The sequence below is a fragment of the Homo sapiens genome, chromosome 5 (assembly GCF_000001405.40).
Source record: "Homo sapiens chromosome 5, GRCh38.p14 Primary Assembly".
Lineage (NCBI taxonomy): Eukaryota > Metazoa > Chordata > Mammalia > Primates > Hominidae > Homo > Homo sapiens.
This window is the reverse complement of record NC_000005.10, coordinates 91,393,968-91,421,268: the sequence shown is the minus strand read 5'-3', so window position 1 is coordinate 91,421,268 and position 27,301 is coordinate 91,393,968. Positions and strand designations below refer to the sequence as shown.

At 37.9% G+C, this 27,301-nt stretch overlaps 1 long non-coding RNA gene across 1 annotated transcript in view; it reads right to left on the bottom strand.

Annotated features, from left to right (window-relative positions):
• Positions 1–553: 553 nt before the first annotated feature.
• Positions 554–27,301, bottom strand: part of ARRDC3-AS1 (ARRDC3 antisense RNA 1) — a 40,369-nt gene continuing 13,621 nt past the window's right edge. Inside the window, exons 2-3 of the long non-coding RNA NR_027435.1 lie at positions 2,498–2,560; positions 554–2,414 (exon numbers count right to left, since the gene is read on the bottom strand). This is a non-coding gene — a long non-coding RNA (ARRDC3 antisense RNA 1). The remainder of the gene's footprint in view (positions 2,415–2,497; positions 2,561–27,301) is intronic.

The window sequence follows — 27,301 nt, the reverse complement described above, 5'->3', positions numbered from 1 at the left end:
TACAAAACATGCGCATATAACAGACACATGTACCCCAGAATCTAAAATAAAATAATTTATTTTTTTAAATTGTCAGTAAAAAGAAGAGAAGCAAAGAAGTTTCCACTAGTTTCTAGAGAGGTAACTAAAAAATTCCACCAATATGAACTCTTCCCTCCCTTGGCATTTTGTTTACCCCATGCTGTGCCCCACCGAGTTGCTTCCTGGATTGTGAAAAGAAGCTCTAAGGAAAGAACGAGGAAGTATACAACTTAATGCAGAGCAACAATCACAGAAGCACTTTAATCAGGAGACACAGGAAACTTTTATCTTGAAAAGCTGAAAAGAAAAAGACTAAAAAAAGTGTTAATCCAGTTTTTCTGTCATAGCTTAATATGAGCAATTGCAATCATTCTGTTAAAATAAACGGCTTTCTCACAAAACTTGAGCATTTATGTCCTTAACCTCTTAGACACTTGTCCAGCAGTAAAGCTGGGACAACACTTCCCATTGGAAAGATGGTTGCGGAAATTCATTGAGGCCATCCACTGAAAGCATCTAGAACAGCCCTGGGTACAAAGCAGACAATTTTTTTTTATTATTATTATACTTTAAGTTCTAGGGTACATGTGTACAACGTGCAGGTTTGTTACATATGTATACATGTGTACACGTGTACAACAGCACATGTTGGTGTGCTGCACCCATTAACTCATCATTTACATTAGGTGTATCTCCTAATGCTATCCCTCCCACCTTCCCCCACCCCACGACAGGCCCCGGTGTGTGATGTTCCCCACCCTGTGTCCAAGTGTTCTCATTGTTCAATTCCCACCTATGAGTGAGAGCATGTAGTGTTTGGTTTTCTGTCCTTGCGATAGTTTTCTCAGAATGATGGTTTCCGGCTTCATCCATGTCCCTACAAAAGACATGAACTCATCCTTTTTTATGGCTGTATAGTATTCCATGGTGTATATGTGCCATATTTTCTTAATCCAGTCTATCATTGATGGACATTTGGGTTGGTTCCAAGTCTTTGCTATTGCAAAGCAGACAATTAACAATGTCACTACCAGCTCCTTCCCCTCTCCCTCTTGCATTTTTAAAATAAATTCTGATATTCACACACACACACGCACCCCTAGCTCAATCTTTTACAGAATTGTGAAAAAATAAATTTAGATTTTATTGAGCACGTCTAATTTCTTTTGGGGAAAGAGTCTTCTCTTGTATTAAGAAAAAGATAGCAGATTTATGTCTATAATGCTTTCATAAATAAATCAAATGCAAGTATAAAAGAACCTACTCAAGACTGAAATTCTGTCATATAACAATAGGTAACATAACAGAAATCTGTCTTTGATTTGTCTTCTCAAGTTCTGGAAATCAACATTTTAAATAATTTTATTTATTAATAGTGTTTATTGGAAAGTGCAGAGTAATTCACTTCTTAGTCATAAAAGAGAAGCTGAAAAGTTGATATTTGGCCACCAGATGGCGCCAAACCCCTAAATATTTTTGTGCCAGGCATTCAAAGCGCTCAAAAGTTAATTTAGAGCTAAAGGTTAGGCACTTGTTTATTGACTTTTATGCTTATATGTACAGCCATCTTGGAGAATCATAAAAAATAATTTCCCACAGATCACGACTCCTTTATGTGACCCTACCACATTCTTGCTTTGCTGTTGTCATTCTAATATATCTAGTTGAAAAAGTACTTTTCACCACCAGACCCTCACCACATAAGCTTAGTGAAGAATTTATTCATTAAACATTAAACCATGAATGATAAAAAAGTGTTAAATAAAATTTCTCCCAGCTCTCAAGTTTTAGTTATTTTAAATCCAAAACAACCCTGTAAAAACTGATTCAAACCAGCTTTCTAGGATCATTAAAGTTTGGGATAGAAAGTAAAACTGTTTCAGATGTATTAACGGGACATGGAAATTTCATTCTTAAGTACTGTGCATAGCTGCTTCTTTCCAAAGAAGTTACCCTTCATATGTGTCTTCTTCTCAACCTGCCAATCTCAGTACTGTGTATTTTTAAATCTGTTCTACATGTTTCTGGATGATACTATAAGATTTTGAGTTGTCATCTCATTGAAATGATTTCATTTTCAACATTCTATTTTTTATTTTTAAATGTAGGATACAGAATATACTGAAATTATAGATATTTGACATTTTAAGTTAATAAGTTAGAAATAATCAAAAAGAATATTAGAAATTTTCATTAAGAATTGAAACATATCAATATTGATAGGTTATGCAGTTATAATCTACAACTTCCAAAACCTCAGAAAATTAAAAAACAAAAGTTTATTTCTTGCTCACACTCCAACTTCACTGCAGGTCATTTTGGGCTCCTCCACATCAAACTCACTCTAGGAACCCAACTAAGGGGTCAGTCACCAACTGGAATATTCCTAGTTTCTATAACACAGAAGAAAAGAGCTAGAAAATACATACTTGCCCAAAAAGCTTCCATCTGGAAGTGACACATCACTTTCACTCACCTCTCTTTGGACAAATTAGTCACATGGGTACACCAAACACCAGTGGACCTGGAAAGTAGAAACCTGGAAATAGATGATGAAGAGTTGCTATAATTCATAAATATTAAATCATTATACCCATATATAACAATGTTTTGGGGCTACTATGATAAAAAAAATTTTATAAGAGTTTCTATGTCCTTACCAAATCTTCTTTGTATTTTCAATCTATGTAGGGTAAAAGATTAAAGAAAATGTAAAAAGTTCTTCTTTTTACAGATATTAAAACTGGAGAGAAAAGACATATTTGAAAAATAAAAATTCTTGGGACAACCAATGCCAGAAATTTTGACAAATATTCTCATAAGTGCTAAAGCAGATGAGTGAGGAAGCACAAGGTGTTAGTTAAAGAGTAACTGAAAGCAAGGAGATTTTATCTGGGTGTCACCAGAAGTGCAGCATTTGTATTGAAGTAGCTGGAGGACATTAGAAAAAACAGACAGACAGACAGGAATAAATGAGGATGTTAAGGAAGAATTTTACAAAATCTCTACTAAGTTTCCCAGATCAGCAAACATTTTCAGAGACAGAGAGAGAGAGAGAGAGAGAGAGAGAGAGAGTGTGTGTGTGTGTGTGTGTGTGTGTTGGAGAGAAGTGGGACGGGTGGGATAGTGGAAAGAAATCAATCCTCAAAGTTGCCAACTCACTTTTCCCAAGGAAAATTTTTTTAAAATTCTTCCATCAACTATCAACTCAATTTTATGAAGAATATTTTATCACAAAAAGCTAAAATAATATTGGAATTTTAATTTTGAATAATTTTAGCTTTATACAACCCTAACTTTATCATGTTACTGTGGACCAGTAAAAACTTTGTCACAAGCCAGTTTCTGTGAATAGCTGACCTGAAATGGAAAGTCCAAATTGAGATTAATAATTTCATCCAGTTGGCAATGAACAACTACTGTACATCTTTAAGTAGAGAGCTGCCTAGAATTGGGGGATGGAGCTGGAAGAAGGAATCTAGAAGAAGTGAGAACTTCCAAAATGACCCTGATGTAACCCTGAAACTTATGGGGACCTAGATTAGGATGCAGACAGAGAAAAAGGAGAGGAGTATTTTAGAAGGAAAACCAAAAGGAAACCTTAAAAATAAGCCTATTTTCCCACTGGAGGAAAGGTTTAGTTTGTTTTGGTTTGGTTTGGTTTTAATGGTTTGTATAACAAACAGAGTTCTTAAATGTCTAACACATCAAAATGGTCCATAGATCTTGAAAAAATGCTACATAAACAAAGATATAATCCAGTAATGAGAAAGAACAGTATTTCAACATCTTCCGCGGGTTAGGGGCTATTACTTAAACCTTCATCTGGTAGACTTGACCCCTGGGGAAGGCAGCAAACTGATCTTGTTTATGTAACTCTGATCTCACTTTTGTTTTTACTTTTATCATGACCCATTCAACCACGCAGCTACATGAAAACAATACTGAGGAACAGCCATGTACTAAAGTATGAGATGGTTATTTGTACCTTTGCAACTCTGAAGAAGGAAAGCATTACTTAGCTTAGACTACAAGTATTTATCAAGAATTATTGAAACTGGCCAGGCGCAGTGGCTCACGCCTGTAATCCCAGCACTTTGGGAGGCCGAGGTGGGTGAATCACCTGAGGTCAGGAGTTCGGGACCAGCCTGGCCAACATAGTGAAACCCCCGTCTCTACTAAAAATATGAAAATTAGTCGGGGTGGTGGCAGGAACCTGTAATCCCAGCTATTCGGGAGGCTGAGGCATGAGAATTGCTTGAACCCAGGAGGCGGGGTTGCAGTGAGCCGAGATCATGCCACTGCACTCCAGCCTGGGCCACAGTGTGAGACTCTGTCTCAAAAAAAAAAAAGAAGAAGAAGAATTTATTAAACTAAGAGCATATTTTATCTGCAAGTAGTTTTAACCTAAGTAAATCACAGTACTTTTCTTTGTAGTAAAATAATACTTTATTTTTCTGGGGAAAAAAACCTTGTCTGCATTAATTAACTTTTAAAACATACTTCTTTATATAGGGCATTCTTCTCCACCGCAAATAAATCAACAGATGGCATCATTTTTTTAAGATGACTAAAAATCCAACATCCAATCAAATTCATTATATTGTTATGCATCATTTTGGAAAATGCCTACTGCCATATGTTTTTAAACAATAACAATAGTAAATTTCCCCTCTGTTTTAAATGTAAAATATTTCAAGCTCACCAAAACATTCAGGGAATAATAGAAATATCCAGGCCAGGAGCAGTGGCTCACGCCTGTAATCCCAGCACTTTGAGAGGCCGAGGCAGACAGATCACCTGAGGTCAGGAATTCGAGACCAGCCTGGCTAACATGGCAAAATTCTGTCTCTACTAAAAATACAAAAATTAGCTGGGCATGGTGGCAGGCGCCTGTAATCCCAGCTACTCGGGAGGCTGGGGCAGGAGAATCACTTGAACTCAGGAGGTGGAGGTTGCAGTGAGCCAAGTTTGCGCCATTGCATTCTAGCTTGGGTGACAAGAGCAAAACTCCTTCTCAAAAAAAAAAAAAAGAAAGAAAGAAAAAAAGAAAAAAAATCTAAGTACCTCCCGTAAGTTTTAAACATAAAACAGAAAATAAAATAATCTGGGCACCTCCACATACACACTAATCAGATTTTTTTTCCCATCCCAGAGATAAATACTATCTCAATTTGATGTGTGTCATTATTATCACACATGCTGTTGTGACTTTGCTACATATGTAAGCATCCATAAGCAATATACAATACTGTCTGGAACATTTTAAAACTTTATATATAGCCTTTCCCATGTTCATTTTTTCACTCAACATAACGTTGAGATTTAGCCACAGGTTGACACATATAACTATGGTTCATTCATATTTTCCATCACATAAAATTTACTTAATCATTCCCCTGTTTAACAATTAGATATTTTTCCATAGTTGTATTATGAACAATGCTGCCATCACTGTCTTGTCCCAATCTTCTTGTATGCACATGCAACACTTTCTCTAAATTCCACATCATCGCCCTGTACAGCCTCTCACCAGCAGTATAAGTTCTTTCTTCTCCTCCACACCAACACATCCTTTTATGAAATTTTCTGATTTCATGCAATCTGATGTGTATGAAATGATGTTGCATAAAGATTTTAATTTCTTTTTTCCTGATTACCAGGGAGATTAAGCATCTTTGCCTCTTCATCTCTTTACCTGTTTCTCTATTGAGTTGATTAAGTTTTTTGTTTGTTTGTTTTTGGAGACAGGGTCTCACTCTGTTGTGCAGGCTGGAGCGCAGTGGCATAATCATAGCTCACTTCAGCCTTGATTTCCCGGGCTCAAGCGGTCCTCCCACCTAAGCCTTTCGAGTAGCTGGGACCACAGGCACAAGCCACTGCCCAGCTAATTTTTCAATTTTTTATAGAGGTGAAGTCTCATTGTGCTGCCCAGGCTGGTCTCAACCTCCTAGGCGCAAGCGATCCTCCAGTCGGCCTCCCAAAGTTCTGGGATTACAGGCATGAGCCACCACACCAGGCCTTTTATTTCTAATTTTGTAGGTATCTCTATATATTTGCAATATCATTTCTTTGAAAGTCAATAATAAGCGCTATAAATATCTCTCTCAATCTATGGCACATATATTTACTTCTTAATGCTTGTCCTTAATGCACATGAAGTAATATTAAAGAATACCCATGTATGTACTCACTGTGCAGATTGCTTTCTTTTGCTTTATGGTGTTTTTTATATCTTGTGTCTTTTTTTTTTCTAAATCACTATTCTGAGGGCATAAAGAATTTTCTTCTAGAATTTTTAAAGCTGTTCTTTCACACTGAAGTCTTTTATACACCTAAAATATATTTTTTTAGTATGATGTTAGGTAAGAATTTAATTTTATTTGTTTCCATGTGGGTGAAGAATTGCCCTGGCATCATTTATAGAATAATGCTCTTTTCCTTGATTTTTATAGCATCTCTTTCATATATCACATTTCTAATACGTGAGCATCTGTTTCCAAGCTCTCTATTCTCTTCCAGCCAGCAGGGAACTTAAAAGAAACAAAGCTTTATCTCACTCTTATCATTCATTATCTAAATTTTTCTGTAAGTTAAATATAAATTACAAGAAACGTTACATCTTCAAAAAGAATGAGAAATGAGCTTGATAAAATAGGTCTATGCTTTATTTTCATCAACTTTTCAGTATAAATTATAATACAAAACTCTGATTTCCTAAGAAATGTTCCACATTCTTATGATCATTTGAGGTTAAAACAATCAATTTGAGATTTTTTTCCTTTTCCTTTTCCTTTTCCGCCTGGGGTGTCAGTCAATGAAATGAACACTTTTCCACAATGGTAAAATCTGCTGAGGAAGAGAAGGGGACAAGCGGGGAAAGAACACACACCACAGTTTGAGTTCATTGCTCACTTTATTTCTTCTGTCTTCTGGTTCTTCTGTTGTTTGTTAGACTTTTTTCCAAAGTGTCTTCCTCAAATGTGATACCCCATTTAAGAGGCTGAATGATGATGTAGTATGGGATCTCCGGAGCCAGATCAGTTTCATCGAGTCCTGGCTCTGTCATTTTCTAGCTGTGAGACCTCGGACATTTACATAACATCTCTGTGCCTCAGTCTCCTCACTGGTCAAGTGTAGATAAAAATGAACCTACCTCACAGGGTTACTGTGAGGAACAAATAAATTGGTATAATTAATATATCTAAGGCACTGAAGAAGTAACGTAACTGTCAATAGATGCTACTCCATTGTCTTCTGGCTGCCTGGGTGGTACTAGAGAACCGATAACCAAATCTGAAATGTTTTCCTATCTAGGACTTGTTCTTTCCGCCTGAAGTCTTACAACATTTTCTATTAATAATTGGCAACAGGAATTTTATCATTATATACTAAGTATGTTTCTCTTCGTGTCTCCAGTCTGGAACTTGGTGAGATATTACCATCTGCAAGCACTTTTTCTTTCTTTTTTTTTTTTTTTGAGACAAGGTCTCTCTCTGTCGTCCAGGCTGCAATGCAATGGCCAAATCTCAGCTCACTGCAACCTCCATTTCCAGGGCTCAAGCAATCCTCCTGCCTCAGCCTCCTGAATAGTTGGGACTACAGGTGTGCACCATGATGCCTGGTTAATTTTTGTATGTTTTGTAGAGACAGCTTCTCACTATGTTGCCTAGGCTGGTCTTGAACTCCTGGGCTCAAGCCATATGCCTGCCTTGGCCTCCCAATGTGCTGGGATTATAGGCATGAGCCACCACTCCCAGCCTTTTTCTTCGTCTTATGGAAACTGTCTTGACTATTTATTATTGGCTTCCTTTTTTCTTCTTCTGGAACTACTATTACTCACATGTTAGGCCTCCTGGACATATTTCCTAAGTATCTCCCCCAGATTTCCATCTTTTTATATTTTTACTCTGTACTTCAAGAAATGTCTTGGTCCTGATTTCTAGACAACTATTTCAGATTTCAACAGTGAGCATAGCATCTCCTCCCCCAGTTCCTCTACTAAATTATTTATTTGGAATTTTTTCTTAGCTCCAGAGAGCCTCTTTTGTGCAACACTTTTATTTCTTTGGGTGCTCTTATTATTTTTGAATTCAAGGTTTCCTTTTTCTTCTCCCAGAAGTTCTATTTCAGTGATTGTTCTGCTGGGTCAGCTCCTCTGGCTCCTGACCCTATTTAAATAGGATGTTATTTTTCCTTTTGGCTCAGTTGGTTCACTTCTGGTTGCTAGAGAACTCTGTATGGCAGTGGTCTTGCAGGATGCAAGGCAAAGATCATGTCAAGGTGGCAAGTGGAGGAGCAGGCAGAAAGCCATTGCCCTTTTGCAGCAACTGAAGGAAGCCACCCTGTTATCTGGCCTCTCAAAGATCTCCCAGCCTCAACAGCAGGGAAGACTCAGCGAACCCATTAAACTCCTTCTTGACTTTTTGGAGGCCAAGGAGACTGAGTATACTTGTGCTGAGCCTGTACTTTCTCCCTGAGACGGCCAAAGTCTCCCCTGGATCCGTGGCTTTCTGGTTCTCCTCTGCCCTCCCAGCCCCAGGGCTTCACAGCTTACCTATACTCTTGTTTTCTGAATTGGGTTTAAGAAAAGCACCTAGACTGGAACTGGGTGTGGAAGTATACCAAAAAATATTCCAGTCACCATCTTCCCAGTATCCCCTTATGTAATTTATAAAAAATAAAAGGAAAAATGCTTTTAAAAAAACATTCACAGAAGTGTACAAGGTAGGATTCTTATGGGGAGGCCAGTTTTGTTATTTCTATCATTTCCAAATATTCTAAAACAAATACATATAATTTTAATAAATAAGAAAGTGTTGGGGCTGGGTGTGGTGGCTCATGCCTATAATGCCAGCACTTTGGGACGCCGAGATAGGTGGATGGCTTTGAGCCCAGGAGTTCGAGACCAGTCTAGGCAACATGGTGAAACCCCATCTCCACTAAAAATACAAAAATTAGCTGGGTGTGGTGGCAAGTGCCTGTAGTCTCAGCTTCTCAGGAGGCTGAGGTGGAAGGATCACCTGAGCCCAGGGAGGTCAAGGCTGCAGTGAGCCAAAATCGCACCACTGCACTCCAGCCTGGGTGACAGTCAGACCGTGTCTCAAAAAAAAAAAAAAAAAAAAAAAAAAAAAAAGAAAGAAAAGAAAGTTTTGTCCTACTATTCATGTTAAAGCCACCAGAAGCTGTTGGTGGCTTAGACCATTTTAAAAATCTAAGTTTATTATTGGCCAAAACATGTCACATGCTTCAAATTATAAATGTTACTATTATGATATATTTCAGTGAATCCGAATACATTTATAAACCAAATTACTGAATTAAACATTAGGATTAAAATGAGATCCAACAAATATTTCACCATAATATGATACCTTAAGTTGTTATATGTGATGATTGACTGCAGATAACTTTATCCAGATTTCATAGAATTGTTAAAGGTCATGCTGTTAGCAATAGCTCACCTCTACAAATGGCTAATGAAAATTTTCTATTTCAATAGGTGAAACACTATATTGGAAAAATGCCTAACTTGAGGGATAATAATTTCTATATATTATTAACTTTGAATTTGTTCTTGTCACTTAAAAAAAACATGTGCATGACTTAAAAATTCAACCAGTACAAAAAGGTACACAATGAGAAATAGGCTTATCTACTGCCCAGACTTCCCAGTCTCCTTCTCAGGTCATAACAGTTTCTTGAGTACCACTCCATATATGCATTTAAATATCCTTCTAAAAAATGCAAACATACAGTACACACTATTCTGCACCTTGGTTTTTTTTTAAGCAACAATATTTCTTGGATATCATTTCATATTTTTGAATGGCTGTGTGTAGTGATCCATTTCTGTATAATCAGTAAATATGTTTCACATATCCCTGACCACCCAAAGAGGTCATTTTTTTTTTAATAATGAAAGCTAACACTTGCATAGCACTTACTATGTACCAGGGACCTTCTATGAGGTAAGAATTATTATTATTATCTCCATTTTACTGATAAGGAACTGCGGTTCAAGGTTTTACAAATAGGGGAGCCAGAATTCAGAAAAGATTTGATATAATATTCTATTCAAGTTTTCATATTTTTATACTTTAGAGATGTATTTAGTCATTATTATTCTCCTGTATTGAAAAAGATACCCCAAAGTGACTATTTGTCTTTTGCCAACTGCTGCTATTTCTGACATGATTTATTACAGTTTCCCTAAGCAGAATTCCTTTCCACATTCATATATCCTCTTTTGCGTGGTTTGTAACAGGCCAGCGCCTTCATTCTGCCCTGCAAAAGGCCCAACTCCTGAAGACCCTAGCAGTGCTTCTATTTCCCAGGCCATTTCCTTTTCTACAGCTTCAGAGACTCCAGCTCTTTCCTGTTGACATGATGTGTATGTAACAGGTCCTCAAATAACATCATTTTGTCCACATCGTTTTGTTGTAATGTTGGTAGAGGGAAAAAAAAAATCAATTCCCAGAAGAGCCACTGTCCATGCAGAGTTTGCACGTTCTCCCCATGTCTGCATAAGTTTTTCTGGGTAGCTTGGTTTCCTTCCACATTCCAAAGATGTGCATGTTAGGTGAATTGGCATGTCTACATGGTCCCAGCTTGGGATGGCGGCCTGGCCAGGGCTGGTTTCCGCCATGAGCCCTGAGCTATCTGGATATGCTTGGGCCACCTGTGACCCTGAACTAGAATAAGTGGGCTGGAAAAGCAATGAATGAATAAATGAATGCAAATGATTATAAAATAAACATGCGTAAAGTCTACTGTAATCATACAAATGCATGACAATAAATGATGCCATCTGAAGGTACTCACTGAGCCTGCCATATTGGTTGTTTTTGAACTGCCTGGTGGTAGGAGTTGCTCCTAACAATTTTCACTATGCAAACTTTTATTCCTTGATTTAACTCCCCACCACTATATCAATATCACTCATTGATTCACCAAAAATTGGGTAAATAATTATCTTACTTGTTTTTATTGATCTTTCTTAAATATACATATAGCTCACATTTATTTCAGTGTTTAATATTAGAAGTGTCTTGGGTCTTTATTTAGAAGTTTGGTGATATTTTCGTGACAAAAATGTGTTGTAGGAACTTAACTCTTGTTTATATCAATTAGCCTATGGTAAAATTGGGGTTTTTTGGTCAGTTTTTTGAGACAGTCTCACTCTGTCACCCAGCCTGGAGCGCACTGGCACAATCTCAACTCACTGCAACCTCCACCTCCCAGGTTCAAGCAATTCTCCTGCCTCAGCCTCCCAAGTAGCTGGGATTACAGGTGCGCACCTCCATGCCAGGCTAATTTTTTATTTTTAGTACAGACAGGGTTTCACCATGTTGGCTAGGTTGGTCTCAAACTCCTGACCTCTAGTGATCTGCCCACCTCGGCCTCCCAAAGTGTTGGGATTATGGGCGTAAGGCCACGGCGCCTAGCCTAAATTTGTTTTCTTATATGTTGTTTTGCTTAAAGTCGAAGTTTCCAGGAAGTTATCCACATCGAGGACTTACTGTACCTAGAAGCTCTTCTCATAGGCTAGTGGATGTTAGACTAACTGTAAGTCAAAGTAAATTTGAATAGCCATTATCTCTCAGGGGCTTATTTTCATTGTGTTTTGCAGCTTCCTTGAGTGAAGAACAGCTGAGCTGGTTTCAGTGTCAAATGGAGCCTTGGTGGTGACTCCAGGGTTACAGTAAGATGAAAGTCATCACTCTTTCCTGCCCTGCTCCCAAGGCAGACATCGCTAATCAATCCCTGCACTCTATACTGCTGAGATCTGATTAGGTTTCACTATATTCTCAATATAGTGTTCTAGGAAACCACTCCCAAGTGACCCTCTATATCTACATAGTCTAAGATTATGCTATACAAGCTTTAGGCCAAATCACAAATGAAGCAAATTGCATTCTTACATATTGGCATTTCCTTTTCATTATACATAAAATGATTCAAATATTTTGCTTTTGTTACCTCTCCTATTTTTCAAACTTTATTTTTGATGGGTGTAATATTATTACTTTATTTTATTTAGTCTCTAAACATGGACAATTTGTCTTTTCAATTATAGAATGCTTTTAAGTGTATTAATAACAACTACTATTCAGAACAGGGATCTCTGAAGAACTAAAAATTAAGACAAAATAACCATTACTACAGTTTAGTCACTGAGTTCTCATATTTAATCCAAATACATCTATTTAAGTGACTAGTCTGTCTGTAATCAGGGCTTTGCTGAGTTCATTGAATGAATTCATCTGTGATATCTCAGATATGCACAGTTACAAGAATATCAGGTGGTAGCTGCACTTGCTGTGAAATAATATTGTGCAATTTTATATCTTGCAAGGATGTAATAACTTTTGTTTACTCTAAGTATATGACTAACCATCTAATATACCCTGGATTCTGGTCACTAGAAGATAATGTGTCAGCCTAAAAAGGTAAATAAAAATTAGTTTATATTTTTTGTGATTGAAATGGAAACAAGTCTATATTACAGGAGTATATTTATTTAAGTTTAACAAGAGGCCTATGGTCTAGGGAATGCTGGTTCATGAGGCCCTAGTTGGCCTTACAGAGGTGCTTCCTCTAGAATGCACTTTGCCAAAATAAAAAGTTGAAGATTGACCATGGGCAACAGAGAAAGAGCTGGGCTTTGGAATCAATCACTGCTCAGTCTTTACAGGGGTATACTTATTTAAGTTTTAACAAGAGGCCCATGGTCTAGGGAATGCTGGCTCATGAGGCCCTACTCTGCCTTATAGTGGAACTTCCTCTGGAAGGCACTTTGCCAAAATAAAAAGTTGAAGATTGACCATGGGCAACAGTAGAAAGAGCTGGGCTTTGGAATCAGTCAATCACTGCTCACTGTCTTATTAGTTATATGATGCTAGGTAAGTTATTATTATTCTAGAGCCTCCATTCCTTTATCTGTGAGATGGAACTAATATTCTCTAACTTAAAATGATGATGTATAAAGATTAAAAGTAGGTATCTTTTTTAAAAGACAGAGTTTTATTGGTTACTCATGAAGTTTTATTTCTGCTGTTTTTGTTAGAATCGAAGCTGAGAAGACAGTGCTGCACAGGCCTGGGTCTGAGAAGCGACCTCTAGAGTTAATTACCAAAAAGTCTACAAAGCCAGATTGAGTGATTGGCCTCCTATCCAGTTTGGATCTCTAACTCAGGATTTCAGACCCCCACATTGGCTTGTTCCTTCCAGGTAGCCATGATTCCCCAAATGCTGATACTTGGGATGCATGCACAAACATTTATTTCCATTCTGTCACCCAGGTGTCTACTGACACTTCTCTGCTACTCCAGCACCTGCAACTGCTCACACTGTCTCTGTGCTTTAGTCTCTTTGTAGCTTCTCCACTACCTGAAATTACATTCTAAGCTTACAGGTTAGCCTGTTCATTATTCAACTGTACCATTAAAAATATAAATTTCATGAGGGAAGGCAATTTGTGTCTGTTTTTTACCACTTGATCCTCAGTGCCTAGGAAGTGGCTGGAACATACAATGAATTCAATAAATATTTGTTAAATGAATAAATAGCTTAAATAATATATTCACTCTGTGCAGCTAAACATAAAACTCAGCTTTCATTCAAGAACTATTAAATAATTCACTCACACAAAAATATTTTTGGGCAATGTTGATTTTACTAAAGATTTTGTGTAGGAAATGGAGAAAGGATTTATACTGGCACTCTTCATTAAAAATTGCTCAACCTCATAGATAACAAAAAGAATGCAAATTAAAAGTGCACCAAGAAGCCTGAGGTATTAGAGGTTATGAGGAGTGAAGAGAACTTCTGCTACAGATTAGAGTGTGGAGGAGGGAGTTGCCAAGCACAAAACCCAAGTGCCTGACATAAAGTATCAAAGTGAGAAAGGTATTTATGTAGGAGGAGGCAACAGTGTGAGACTTGTTACCTACAGGGATGTTGATGAAATATGTAAGTACATTAAGAATAACATGAGCCAGGACTTCGACTGTGAGAGAAGAGTGTTAAAAATATGGAAAGGGAGAAAATTAGAATGGATCTGGTGATGTTGGATAGTAGTTGAAGGAATAGGTATCAACTAGTAGTTGTTTATATATGGAGATAGTAACCAATGTCAGTATGTGTCTGTTTACTAAGAGGGCCTTGGAAAAGACACACCCCAATAGCCAGCAACACACATAGAATTCAGGCTTCTTTTTTTTCTTTTCCTTTTTCTTTTTTTTTTCTCATTCCGTTGCCCAGGCTGGAGTGCCGTGGTGCGATCTCGGCTCACTGCACCCTCCATCTCCCAGGTTCAAGGGATCCTCCCACCTCAGCCTCCCAAGTAGCTGGGATTACAGGCACCCACCATCATGCCCGGCTAATTTTTGTATTTTTGTAGAAACAGGGTTTCACCATGTTGGTCAGGCTGGTTTCAAACTCCTGACCTCAGGTGATCCACTCTCCTCAGCCTCCCAAAGTGCTGGGATTACAAGTGTAAGCCACCGCACCCAGCCACACTCGGGCTTCTAAATATCATTCTCCATTAAAAGGTTCCTTGAAGAAATGGCTGATTCCATGTCCAGAGTAGGACAAGTATAAGATGAGCCTAGAATATCTCTTTAGACAAGAAAGCAAGGAAGTTCTGACAGAATGATAGCGATAAGTCAAAAGCTGTGCAGGAGCCAGCTTGAAGGAGCTCCCACCAAACAAATCTGGGACAGTTCGAACATCAAGACAAACAATGATAGGAATGGATTATGACTATTGATTATTATAGAAACCTATTAGTACATGGTGATGTAACCAAAAGAACCAATTTATCAACTGAATTTTTAATGCCAAAGTATGTATTACATAACTTCAAAGTACCCTACCACAAACACTTAATAATTACAAAGGAAAAAAAGGCTAAGTTAGAGTGGAGAATCCTGGCACTCACCACCCTAGTCAAATGATCAGAGTGAACATCATCAGTAATGGGATAAAACAAAATCATGAACCACCTGATAGGTTGCAAGAAGAACAAGGCATCTTTTCTGTCATATTTTTGCCAAAGATGTGCAATCTGAATTGAGTTCAAGGAAATGTCAGGTAAACCCAAATTAAGGGACATTTTACAAATGTCTGGTTTATCATCTTTAAATGTACCAAGGTCATAAAAATGAAGGAAAGCAGAAGGAACTGTTTCAGATTAAAGGAGACTGAAGAGGTAGGGCAGAAGCTAAGCACAACACATGATTCTGGACTGGATACTTTTGCTATAAAGGACATATTAGGGACAACAGGCAAACTGTGAATGGAGTCTAACTCCATTTGATGTCAGTAACATATCAAAGCTAATGTCCTGATATTGATGGTTTCACAGTTGACCCTCCATATCTACAAGTTCCACATCTGTAGAATTAACCAACTGTGGATTGAAAAATATTTGAATTAAAAAATGAAAATAATATAAAAACAATACAGTATAACAACTATTTACATAGCATTTACATTGTATTATATATCATAAGTAATCTAGAGATGGTTTAAAGCAAGCTTGTCCAACTCACAGCCTATGGGCCACATGTAGCCCAGGATGGCCTTGAATGCAGCCCAACACAAATTTGTAAACTTTCTTAAAATATTATGAGTTTTTTTTGCAATTATTTTTTAGCTCATCAGCTATCATTAGTGTTAGCGTATTTTGTGTGTGGCCCAAGACAATTCTTCCAATGCAGCCCAGGGAAGCCAAAAGATTGGACACCTCTGATTTAAAGTATACAGGAGGATGTCCACAGGTTTTATGCAAACATGACACTATTTTATATAAGGGACTTGAGCATCTGAAGGGGGGATCCTGGAACCAATCCCCACAGATACCAAGGGAAGACTGTAGTTTGAATATGTAGGAGAATGTACTTGTTTATAACATATATAACCTAGGGTTATATATTCTGGTGTACAAGGATATTATGTTGGCAACTTACTCTTAAATAGTTCCATGGGGAAAATATTCTTTATACTTGCAACTTTTGGATACGTTTGAGGTAGCTTCAACATTTTTTAAAATTAAACTTAAAAAACTGAAAATTAAGATATCATTTGTCAGCTATCAGATTTGTGGAAATGTAAAAGTTTGACAATGCACTCTATTGGCAAGGCTGTGGGCAAATAGACCCTTTTTTTTTTTTTTTTTTTAGATCTGGTAGCCCTCTGTCAACCAGGCTGGAGTGCAGTGGCACTCCAGTGATCATAGCTCATTGAAGCCTCAAATTCCTGGGTTTAAGGGCTCCTCCCACCTCAGCCTTCCAAAGAACTGGAATCCCAGGTCTGTACCCCCATGTCTAGCTAATTTTTTAAAATTATTTAAAAATTTGCTGTGTTGCCCAGTCTGGTCTCAAACTCCTGGGCTGAAGCAATCCTCCTGCCAAAGTGCTGGGATCATAGACATGAGTTCCAGCACCCAGCCCAACACTCTTTTATTTATTTTGAGGCTATAAATCAGCAGAACTCCTTAGGAGGGAAATATTTATCAATATTACAATAGCATATGTCCTTGATCAACAATACCACTACTGGGAATTTACCCTGTGGGTATGCATGCACTAATGAAAAATAAGATCTGTATAACATTACCCATTTTAATATTGTTGTAAATGCAAATAATCAGGAAAAAAAGTTCATAAATAGGTTAAATTATGATACATTGATAAAATGGAATAGAGTGGGGTGATGAAAAAGAATTAGAAAGCTCTATGTAGTCATAGGAAAGGTGTCCAAAATATATAGCATAGTGAAAAAAATTTAAGGTACAGAACAGTATATACAATGCGCTAAATTCAGTGTCAAAAAAGCAGAGAAAAATAAAAAGCAATATGCATGCTTGCTTATATTTGCATAAAGAAATTCTAGAAAAGTACATAAGAAAACAATATCAGTGGTTACTTGGTGGATAGACAAGTGAGAGCAGTGAGGCCCCAGGATGGTAAGGAGACTTTCTGGCCCACGTTTTTATACTTCTGTTAACATGGGTCTCTATCATCTATTCACGATATTAATTTTGAAAATCTCTCATTAGACATTTTTGTTTCCCAAATTCTTTCCTTTAACCAAGCAGCTACTTCCCATTCCTCCCGACATAAATGATCCAGCAAGCTGGCCCTCATTTCTTTTCTCAGTATTCCCCAGAATCTCACATTCCATTCTCCTCATAAATATCCAGCAACATCGCCCTGTCCCAAATTCTACCTCCAAACCTATTTACCAATCTTTAGGGAAATGAACAAAACACAGGCTCCTAAATGAAAGGCAATTTGTCCTTATTGGTTGGGGATAGGTTGGGGGGTAAGGGAGAACTACCCACAAGCAGTTTATTAAAGTTTTTTCTAAATACAGTACATACAATCTTTGCCAAAGAGAAACTCTGATGAATGAGATTTGTTCCACCTCAATGAAGCACTCATTTACTCATGAGTGGTGCCCCTCTATCCACACACACAGTTTTATCCACCCTAGGACCCCCTCCTGCTTTTCATTTTGGTGGGTCCTGATCTGCATGTACCACCATCCCTCTTAACTAATGCTGAGCTAAGCTGCATCTGTCTTTAAATAGGCCAAAGGCTCTGCCCAAATTTGGAGAAACATTTAAGAACTAGTCAAAACTAAGGATTTTTGGCTCAAACTCAAGATGAGAAGGATAAACAAACCCTGCCCAAATGGAATCTAGTTTGATATATTTTCCTGCCTTTCTAATTAAAGCCAAATGTTTTAATATTTCCCAAATTACCTCTGATGAAATCTACTGTATCATTTCACCTTATAAAAGCAAATAAGTTTATATTTACAGTTAATAATTTTATTTCAATGCATGCTAGTTTTTCATTTTATTTGCCATGAGGTGTCATGAACCTCCACTATGGGCTAACTAATCTGCTCCATGGGCCACACATGTACCAAAGAATTGTGGGAACCAGAGATGGTCAGAATACAATCTCACACAATCTTATACCTTTTTTTTTCTCATTGTCAAGAATACAGAAGAGGCCAAGCACATTGGCTCACACCTGCAATCCTGGCACTTTGGGAAGCCAAGTAGGATCACTTCAGCCCAGGAGTTCGAGACCAGCATGGGCAACATAGTGAGACTTCATCTCTATTTTTTAATAATTTAATTTAATTTTAAAATAATACAAAAGAGCCAGGGGAAAGGATCTCAGTATATTAGGGATCAGTTGACATTAACAGTAGAAAGTAAAGTCTTCTGACTTGATATTTCAAAACAATATTAATAATAATGATCCTAAACATTTTAGCAATGCATTTCAGAACCTACTATAGCTTTGTCCCATTTGATTTCCATAATTTGAGGTGGATATAATTATCCCCATTCTATCAGTCAAGAAATGAGGACTCAGATGATAATGAATTTCTCCAAATCACACAATGAAGAAGCAGCAAGACTGCAAGGTGCCTAAATTAGGCTTATCTTCAATGATCTGAGTAAATCTCTATGATTATTAAGTTTAATGATTCTATTAGTAATGGGTATTTCCAAGTTCAAATGAGTTTAAAATTTTATAAGGCTATCTAATGCCTCGAGAACATTGTCTGTGGAGGCTGGGAATTCTACAAAATAGGAGCTAAAAAGGTTAATTTATTCTGACAGAAGGATGATTAACACTAGGTAAGATTACCTATCTCTAATTAACCTAGTCCATTATTGAGTTCTTAAGAAGGATATGGATAGCAAAAATGTCACTCAGAAAAAATTCAGCTGAGAAAGTTTGAAGACAGCACTGCACTGGGAATGATAATTGTTATATTTGTTAGCCATTGGGTATGCTTAAAATCATTTTCATATTTAAGCCAGAACCTAAAATACTTCTTTACTCAAGCCTCTTTAAGGGAACTATGAGGCTTAAGATTAACAAATACATTTTAGCATTAACTTAAATTTAAAAATGCCTATCAAAAATTTTAAAAGGAAATCTGTTTTTTTAAAATTAATCTCAAACCTGCTTATACACAAAGGCCTTCTAATAAAGATCATTAAACATTTTACTGAGTTATGTTCTTGACCAGTGATTTCATGATAGGCTTAACCTCTCTCCCTCACTCTAACACCCATGTTTTACCTACTACGTTCTGACAGAATGTAAAACAAAACAACTCTAATATTATTCATTAATAGTACTTTTGGGGACCTTGAAAAGTTAATGCTACTTTAAAGTTTCCTAACTTAAAAATCTTAAGCATTGAAAGGATCTGGTTTACTATATCCTGTGGGTTAGAGTTTGTGTTTTTTGCTTTTCATTATAGACCACAGTATCACATAAGAATGGATATCATTTAGTTTAGTTTTATGCTACCAGGCACAGTGGCTCACGCCTGTAATCCCAGCACTTTAGGCGGCCAAGGTGGGTGGATCATTTGAGGTCAGGAGTTCAAGACCAGCCTGGCCAACATGGTGAAACCCCAGCTCTACTAAAAATACAAAAATTAGTCTGGTGTGGTGGCACGTGCCTGTAATCCTAGCTACTGGGGAGGCTGAGGCACAAGAATCACTTGAACCTGGGAAGCAGAGGTTGCAGTGAGAAGAGATTGCACCACTGCACTCCAGCACGGGCAACACAGCAAAACTCCATCTCAAAAAATAAAATAAAATAAAATAAAATAATAAACTGTTAAAAGGGATTTTTTTCTGTTATCTTGGAATTGTTATTATGACTGAAAAAATGATGACAAAAATTCATAAAGATTCTAGGCTGTTAAAGGCCTCTCCAACCACTGGGCCGGAAACCTCTCTAAAGGCTTATTCAGATGCAAAGGAACCACATCTGCTACTCCCAATCAACATTTCAGCCCTGAGTGAGTGAGCAGGAAAATATTTTCCCTCAACCCACTAGAAGCCAAGTGAAGAGGGAGTTTCAAAGGAATACAGAGTGGGAGTGCTTGCACAGAGGAAAGACTGACAGCTACTACCTAGTTGAATACTTACAGAGTTGGGAACCTAGAGACTCACCCCAAGTCTGACTTCAAAGTTCACTACGCTGAGTGAGAGAGTCTGTGGGAGAAACTGACATGTGTCTTTTGGAATTTGGAAGCATATCTGAACATCAAGAATTGCGCCTGATTCTTTCCTGAAGATTTTGAAGATGGAAGACTGGCAAGCAAACCCCGGAAAAGTGGAATTTTTTAAAAAGACCATATTGTGGGGCGCTTTAAAAGAAGGTGAAGAAAATGTCCATCCCATTCTAGGTTTCCTTATTTTTATGGACTGAATGTTTGTGTCCCCCCACCCCCAAAAATTGATATGCTGAAATCCTAATCCCCAATATGATGGTACTAGGAGGTAGAACTTTGGGGAGGTAATTAAGTCATGAGAGTGGAGTCCTCATGAATGGGATTAGTACCCTCATTAGAAGAGACATGAGCTTGCCCTCTCTGCTGTCCAACATCTAAAGACACAGCAAAAAGATGACCATCTGCAAACCACGAAAAGTACTCCCACCAGACACAGGACCTGCAGACACCCTCATCTTAGAATTCCAGCCTTCACAACTGTGAGAAATAAACATTTGTTGTTTAAGCCACTCAGTCTATGGTTTTCTGTTATAGCAGCCCAAACTGACTAAAACAACATTCATTTACCAACGGGTACAGAAGGAGGACTTTCAAGTTTGACTCAATTTGAAGGAATATAAAGAAGGGAAGAGAAGGCCGGGTGCAGAGGCTCACACCTGTAATCCCAGCATTTTGGGAGGCCAAGCTGGGCAGATCAAGAGGTCAGGAGTTCAAGACCAGCCTGGCCAACATGATGAAACCCCATCTCTACTAAAAATACAAAAAAAAAAAAAAAAATTAGCTGGGCATGGTGGCATGCGCCTGTAATCCCAGCTACTCCAGAGGCTGAGGCAGGAGAATCTTTTGAACCCAGGAGGTGGAGGTTGCAGCGAGCCAAGACTGTGCCATTGCACTCCAGCCTGGGCGACAGGGTGAGACTCCGTCTCAAAAAAAAAAAAAAAAAAAAAAAAAAACCGAAGGGAGGAGAAAAGCACAAGCCCTGGGGTTACCTAACAGCTGCTTCTTAATGGAGTTAGAATGCACACCAAAGGCAAAACTAAAGGGAGACATGGGCCCCTCTCTCTGCAGACATCCTCATTGATACAGTGAATCAAGATGAAGCTAAACAATCCTAAAAATTGCAACAAGTTATGAGACCACCAACAGCAATAAAATCATACAAAGTCTTGAGGGGAAAGACACTGCCTCATCTCCAATAAGCAACCCCACCATCTCTAATATTCCTCCTCCCTGACAAAGGAGTCAGATACTAATAAAGGGAGCTGAGGAGATTGTATTTGAATCAGACTTAAGATTGAATTTTTACACTGGAGTGAAATTAGTTTGGCTTTGTTTTGTGTTTTTAATAACTAAAAATGATGAGAAAGTTGTGGAATGTGACCAAGAAATTGTCTTGAGAGACTCTCTACAAAGCACTATTGAGAATTGTGATTGGAGGAAAAACAAACATTACTGTATTACTATATACTAAGTAGAATGTACTCAATAATACTGGTTATACTAAAATGTTGACTTTCTAAAGCAGGCTGGAAGGGGTGTGTTTTTGGGGAAAAGTTATACATAGTCTTCATAATAGTAGACAATGGAAAAAAACAACAACAACAAAACCAAAGTGAAATATAGGGCTTATGTAAGCATATTTCAAAATAAGTTTAAAACTATATTCATATTTGATTGCATTATATAAGTTGAAGACACAAACTTATCTATATATTTCTCAAAAGGAGACATTTTTAGTACTATAAAGCTTGGCTGTGTATATGATCTTAGTTTTCAAAGCACCATTTCATACTTGTACTTATGAGCAAGAGAACAAACTCTCATTTCATATCCACCGTGTACGCGACGGAATCTAGACCATAGAAAATGTTCAGACAGTGATTTCAAATTAATCTATCACTTCCTACCTGCTTCTGCCCTTTGCTATCATATATAGCAATATTTTGGTCATTAATCCATATTAATTAAAGATCAGAGAAGGTGGATAGTTTTAATTATTTTTACAATGTACATGTATTATTTTGTAATTCAGAAAAATTAAACTTTAAAAAGAATTAGTATTTTATTCAATGTCTCCCTCTTCATACCAACTCATGCTTTATTTGCATAAGCTCAGTACCCACACACAAAATCTACAAATGCTGAGCATCTGTTGGTTTTGCCAGTGTTGCTTCCATTCTCCTTCTTCTGTAAACGGCATCTCTGTTTTCCTTTGAGGAACTTCCCAAACTCCATTTCATATAGTCTTTTTTGGGGTTTTTTGTTTGTGTTTGTTTTTGTTTTTGTTTTTTGAGATGGAGTCTCACCCTGTCACCCAGACTGCAATGCAGTGGCATGAGCTCAGCTCACTGCAACCTCCACCTCCCAGGTTCAAGTGATTCTCATGCCTCAGCCTCTGAATGGCTGGGATTACAGGTGTGCACCACTATGACCAGCTAATTTTTGTATTTTTTTAGTAGAGACCGGGTTTCACCATGTTGGCCAGGCTGGTCTCGAACTCCTGACCCCAAGTGATCCACCTGCCTTAGCCTCCCAAAGTGCTGAGATTACAGGCGTGAGCCACCGCACCCAGCCAATTTCATATAGTCTTGATAGAATAGTCAATCTCCTGCCCAAGGGGGTGGGCACAAAATCTAAGCAAGATCATTTAAATCTTAACCTTTCTTCTCAGTATTTGAACCCTAAGCAGTAACAAGAATGAACAAATAGTAGAACTAATTTTTCCCAGTAGTGATACTGAAGGTGTCCATTACTTTCTAAAACCCTGGACACCAAAGCTGCAATAGTTTCTATATCGCTGAAGCATGATTTTTTCTTCAGACTGAGTTTTAAATCTGTGAGCTACCTGATATATTTATAACAAACTCCACTTCCCAACCTCCACTTCACCCTTAAGTTAGAGTTGGTTTCTGATTGTTTAAGACTAAACCACACAAAAACCTTTGGGATAGGACATGACCCATCTACTGTCCTTCTTCCAGATTCCATCTCTCTTTACTTTCCTAATACTTTACAGAACTCTTCAATATTTCAACATCCATTTCCTTCAATTCAAGCTCTCCCTAGTCAATATCCTCAACTTACTTGTCCTAGGTATTTCTACTTAACTGTTTGCCTAATAAAAAACTGCCTTTTCCACTACCAGCCCTGGGGGCTGCTGGAGAAAACCTGACAGTCATTAGGGTTGGTGTCTGAATTCATTTTCAGTTTCTATTCTCAGTTAGGTTTTCCATAGTGATCAGAAGCCTTTCTGGTTTCCTGCTCATTTCACTTCTCATTCTCCACAGGATTTTCAGAATTCTCTTCAATCTCCTTAATCTCCAACTAGATCACTCCTTTTCAGCAATGTCTGCACAAATAAAGTAAAAGCCATGGGATGGAAATTCACTCTTCTTCCGGCCAGAAGACTCTCAAACCAAGTTGTATTCAAGCCATTCTTCTCTCCCACTCTGAATTTAAGTGGGAATGCAGTCTTCTCTTGCACTTAAGACTAATCCTCAGAATTGTGCACCAGACCCTATCCCTTTCTTCCTTCTGAGAGAAGTGGCTTTATCGATTACTTCTGTCTCTTCTGTATCTTTAACCTCACTCTCTAGATTGGCTCCAAGGCGATTACAGGTAAATATGATGAATGCCATACTTTTTCATCAAAAACTCCTGAAGGAGTCTCCTTTTAGCTACTGCTTTATTATTCTTTTCTCATTCTCTACTAAATTAAAGTAGTATCTGCCCAGCATGTAAAGGATGGTGATAGAGACAAGGAGCCAGCCAAGGGTCCCCCGGCAAAACCCCACTTTCAAGCCTAAAACAGCCTGAGGCTGAAAAACTGGACTGCCGGTCCCAGAGACTCTCTGACTGGCCTGTGCATTGGGAGGATGGAGTGGAGCCTTAGGACAAGGAGTCTGGCCTCTGCTGTTCCTGGGTGGTAACCTGGGATTCAATCAGTGAGGTGGAGAGCCTGTTGGCAGAACCCAACGAATTCCATTCCTCACCCTTCTGTGTATCTGTGAGCCTAATCTTTCCTGGTCATGTGACAAGAACCAATATTTTTCCTACAACAGTGGGGCACAGGAAAAGGGGGAGTGGGAGCAGTGTGTAAGCAAAGCCCACCTGATACAGGGTTCAGAAGGCACCACACAAAGGCCAGTCCAGCATGGAGAGGTCCAGCCTGGTTAGGGTGAGGATACATCCACTAGAGGGGCAGTCTGAAACAGGGTGGCAGAGCCTAGGTAGGGAAAGAGGGCATCCACATTCAAGGGAGGATGACAGTGGAAACAGGAGATTGATCACATGCAGGGGGGATTGATCAAATAAGTCAATATGACAAGTCCAATGGGAGCCTGGTTTCTCAGTGTCAAAAAGAAGGTTACCTATATGGAAAGGGAGAAAATTAGAACAAACCCTGAGGTGTTTGATTAGAATTTATGGTATCAATGTACACTCATGGTTTTACAGATAGAGACAGACAGACAGAAATATAGATGCAATTTGCAACTGTGTGTCTATACATTCATATGTACATCTATATATATGATAGCTCTCTCCACTGGGGACAACCTCAAAGTACACCACACTCTAAAAGCAAGGTGTATACCTAGTGCTCCTTCAAAGACTCAGGGCTAACTTGGAGAAATGGCTGATTCCAGGGCTAGGCAGCGGAATTGCAAGATGAGCTTGTTAAGTACAAGAAGTACAGGAGAAGTACAAGATGAGCTTGTTTCATATGCCAGAAAAAAAGAAGGTAGTCGAAATATGATGGAGACATGTCATAAGCCACTTTGAAGGGATTTCTACTAGCTAAATTGGGCACAATTTGAAGATCAAGATAAATAACAATAAATTAAGGCTCATATGAATCAATGGTCATATAAATAAACAAACAAATAGAAAGTTTGATAAGAAATAGGATACTTGCAAAGTTTCAAAAAACTTCCATACAAAATACTTACAAATTCCCTAGGGTCAGGGTGGGGAACCAAGTAGTTGAGAATTCAGACAGACACATCTTTATTCAAATGATCATTAGTAATGGGACAAACCAAAATTGTACATTATCTGACAGGAATCAATGAGGAGAAAACAGCATCACTTCTGAAGTGTTCCTATCAAAATCGAATCATTCAGCCTTTTTCAGCTGAACCCTAACACATAGTGACTATTTGCTCAACTCTCTCAAGAATGGTACATAATTAATGCCATTCTAAATGTGTTTTTAAAACTTAATTATTTCATCCAATACATGCTGTGGTAGTTAATTGTATCTGTCAACTTGACTGGGCCCCAGGATGCCCAGATATCTAGCTAAAGGTTATCTGGTTGTGTCTGTGAGGGTGTTTCTGGAAGAGATTAGCATTTGGATTGGTGGACTGAGTAAAGCAGATGGGCCTCCCCAGTGTAGGTGGGCATTATGTAATCCCCTGAGGGCCTGAAGAGAACAAAAAGATGGAGGATGTTTCAATCTGCTTTCTGATTGTTTGCGCTGGTATGTGGATCTATTCCTCCCCTCACCACTCCTAAGTCTTAAGACTTATTCTGAATTCAGACTTGTATTAGGTTGGTGCAAAACTAATTGCGATTTTTGCTATTACTTTTAATTAAAAGTAAATTAGTTTTACTAATTAGTTTTGCACCAACCTAATACTAAATTACACCACAAGCTTCCTGGATTTCCAGCTTGCAGACAGCAGATCATGGGACTTCTCAGCCTCCATAACGTCATGAGCCATTTATTTGTTATTTTTTAACAAATAAATTAATTAATTCCGTTTTTTCTGGAGAACTCACTAATACAGATTTCTTAGGGTGTTAAGCCTTAATTCTCACCCAGAACCATGGTTGAAAAAAAAAACAGGTTGAACTGTACACAGAGGTACAATCTATAAAATATCTGGTCTTCAAAAGGGTCAAGATCATTAAAGACCAGGAAAAGTTACATTGCTGCTCCCAACAGAAGGAGACTAAAAAGGCCTGAAAACTATATGTAACAGGTGATTCTAAACTGGATCCTTTTGCCCTAAAGGAGAGTATTGAGACAACCAACAAAACTTGATTGGGACTTCAGTATTAGATGGTAGTAATGTCTAATGTTAATGACTTGATTTCCATGGTTGCACTATGGCTATGAAGGCATAGTCTTTACTGGCAGTGAGGCATCATACTGGCAACTTACTTTCAAATGGTCCAGGAAAAAAAGTCTTCTGTACTGTACCTGCAAATTTTCTGTATATTTTGTATTGTTTCAAAATTTAAAAAATAAAAAATGAACAAATATAAAACTGAAATTCATCCTCCTCCTCCTTCCCCATGTTCCACATCTCAGCGAGGAACTCCACCATTTAGCAAGTTGCCTAGGCCAGAAATCCAGTGTCATCCTTGATTACTCTTCCCTCTAACATTCAATTAACACCCTTCCTCTATACCCATATTCAATTACACACCAAGATATGATGATTTTACCTAATTATTTCATTATTTTAATAAATAATTTTAGGCCAGGCGTGGTGGCTCACGCCTGTAATCCCAGCACTTTGGGAGGCCAAGGAGGACAGATGACGAGGTCAGGAGTTCGAGATCAGCCTGTCCAACATAGCGAAACCCTGTCTCTGCTAAAAATACAAAATTAGCTGGGCGCAGTGGTGCACACCTATAATCCCAGCTATTCGGGAGGCTGAGGCAGGAGAATCACCTAAACCCAGAAGGCAGAGGTTGCAGTGAGCCAAGAAAGCACCACTGCACTCCAGCCTGGGCAACAGAGCAAGACTCCATCTTGGAAAAAAAAATTAAAAAATTAAAATAATAATAATTTTAAAAATTAAAAAATGTATATAATATTGTTTTGAAATCATATATATTTTAGCGACCAGGGTTTTGCATACCTGACTACTGAATTTACCAAATTTATGAATAAAGAAGTGCCTCTACAAAGAAATGTTTTTAGAGATTTTAATTTTTAAGAGGGACATCATGTATATATATATATCTCAACATATATAACAAAATATTCAGTAATCAAGGCCTTTGAAATAAACCTTTCTATTATCTAGATGCAAATCTATTCAGAACACTTTAAATGTCAGCTATATAAGCTATATACTATGTTAAAAATACAGATAAATAATATTACAAGTTTCAGTTAGCTTCCTCTCAGGTATTTTGCTCTTTGCTGTGGTACACAATTGCACTTTTCCTTAGGTCCAATTAAAAGCAGGCT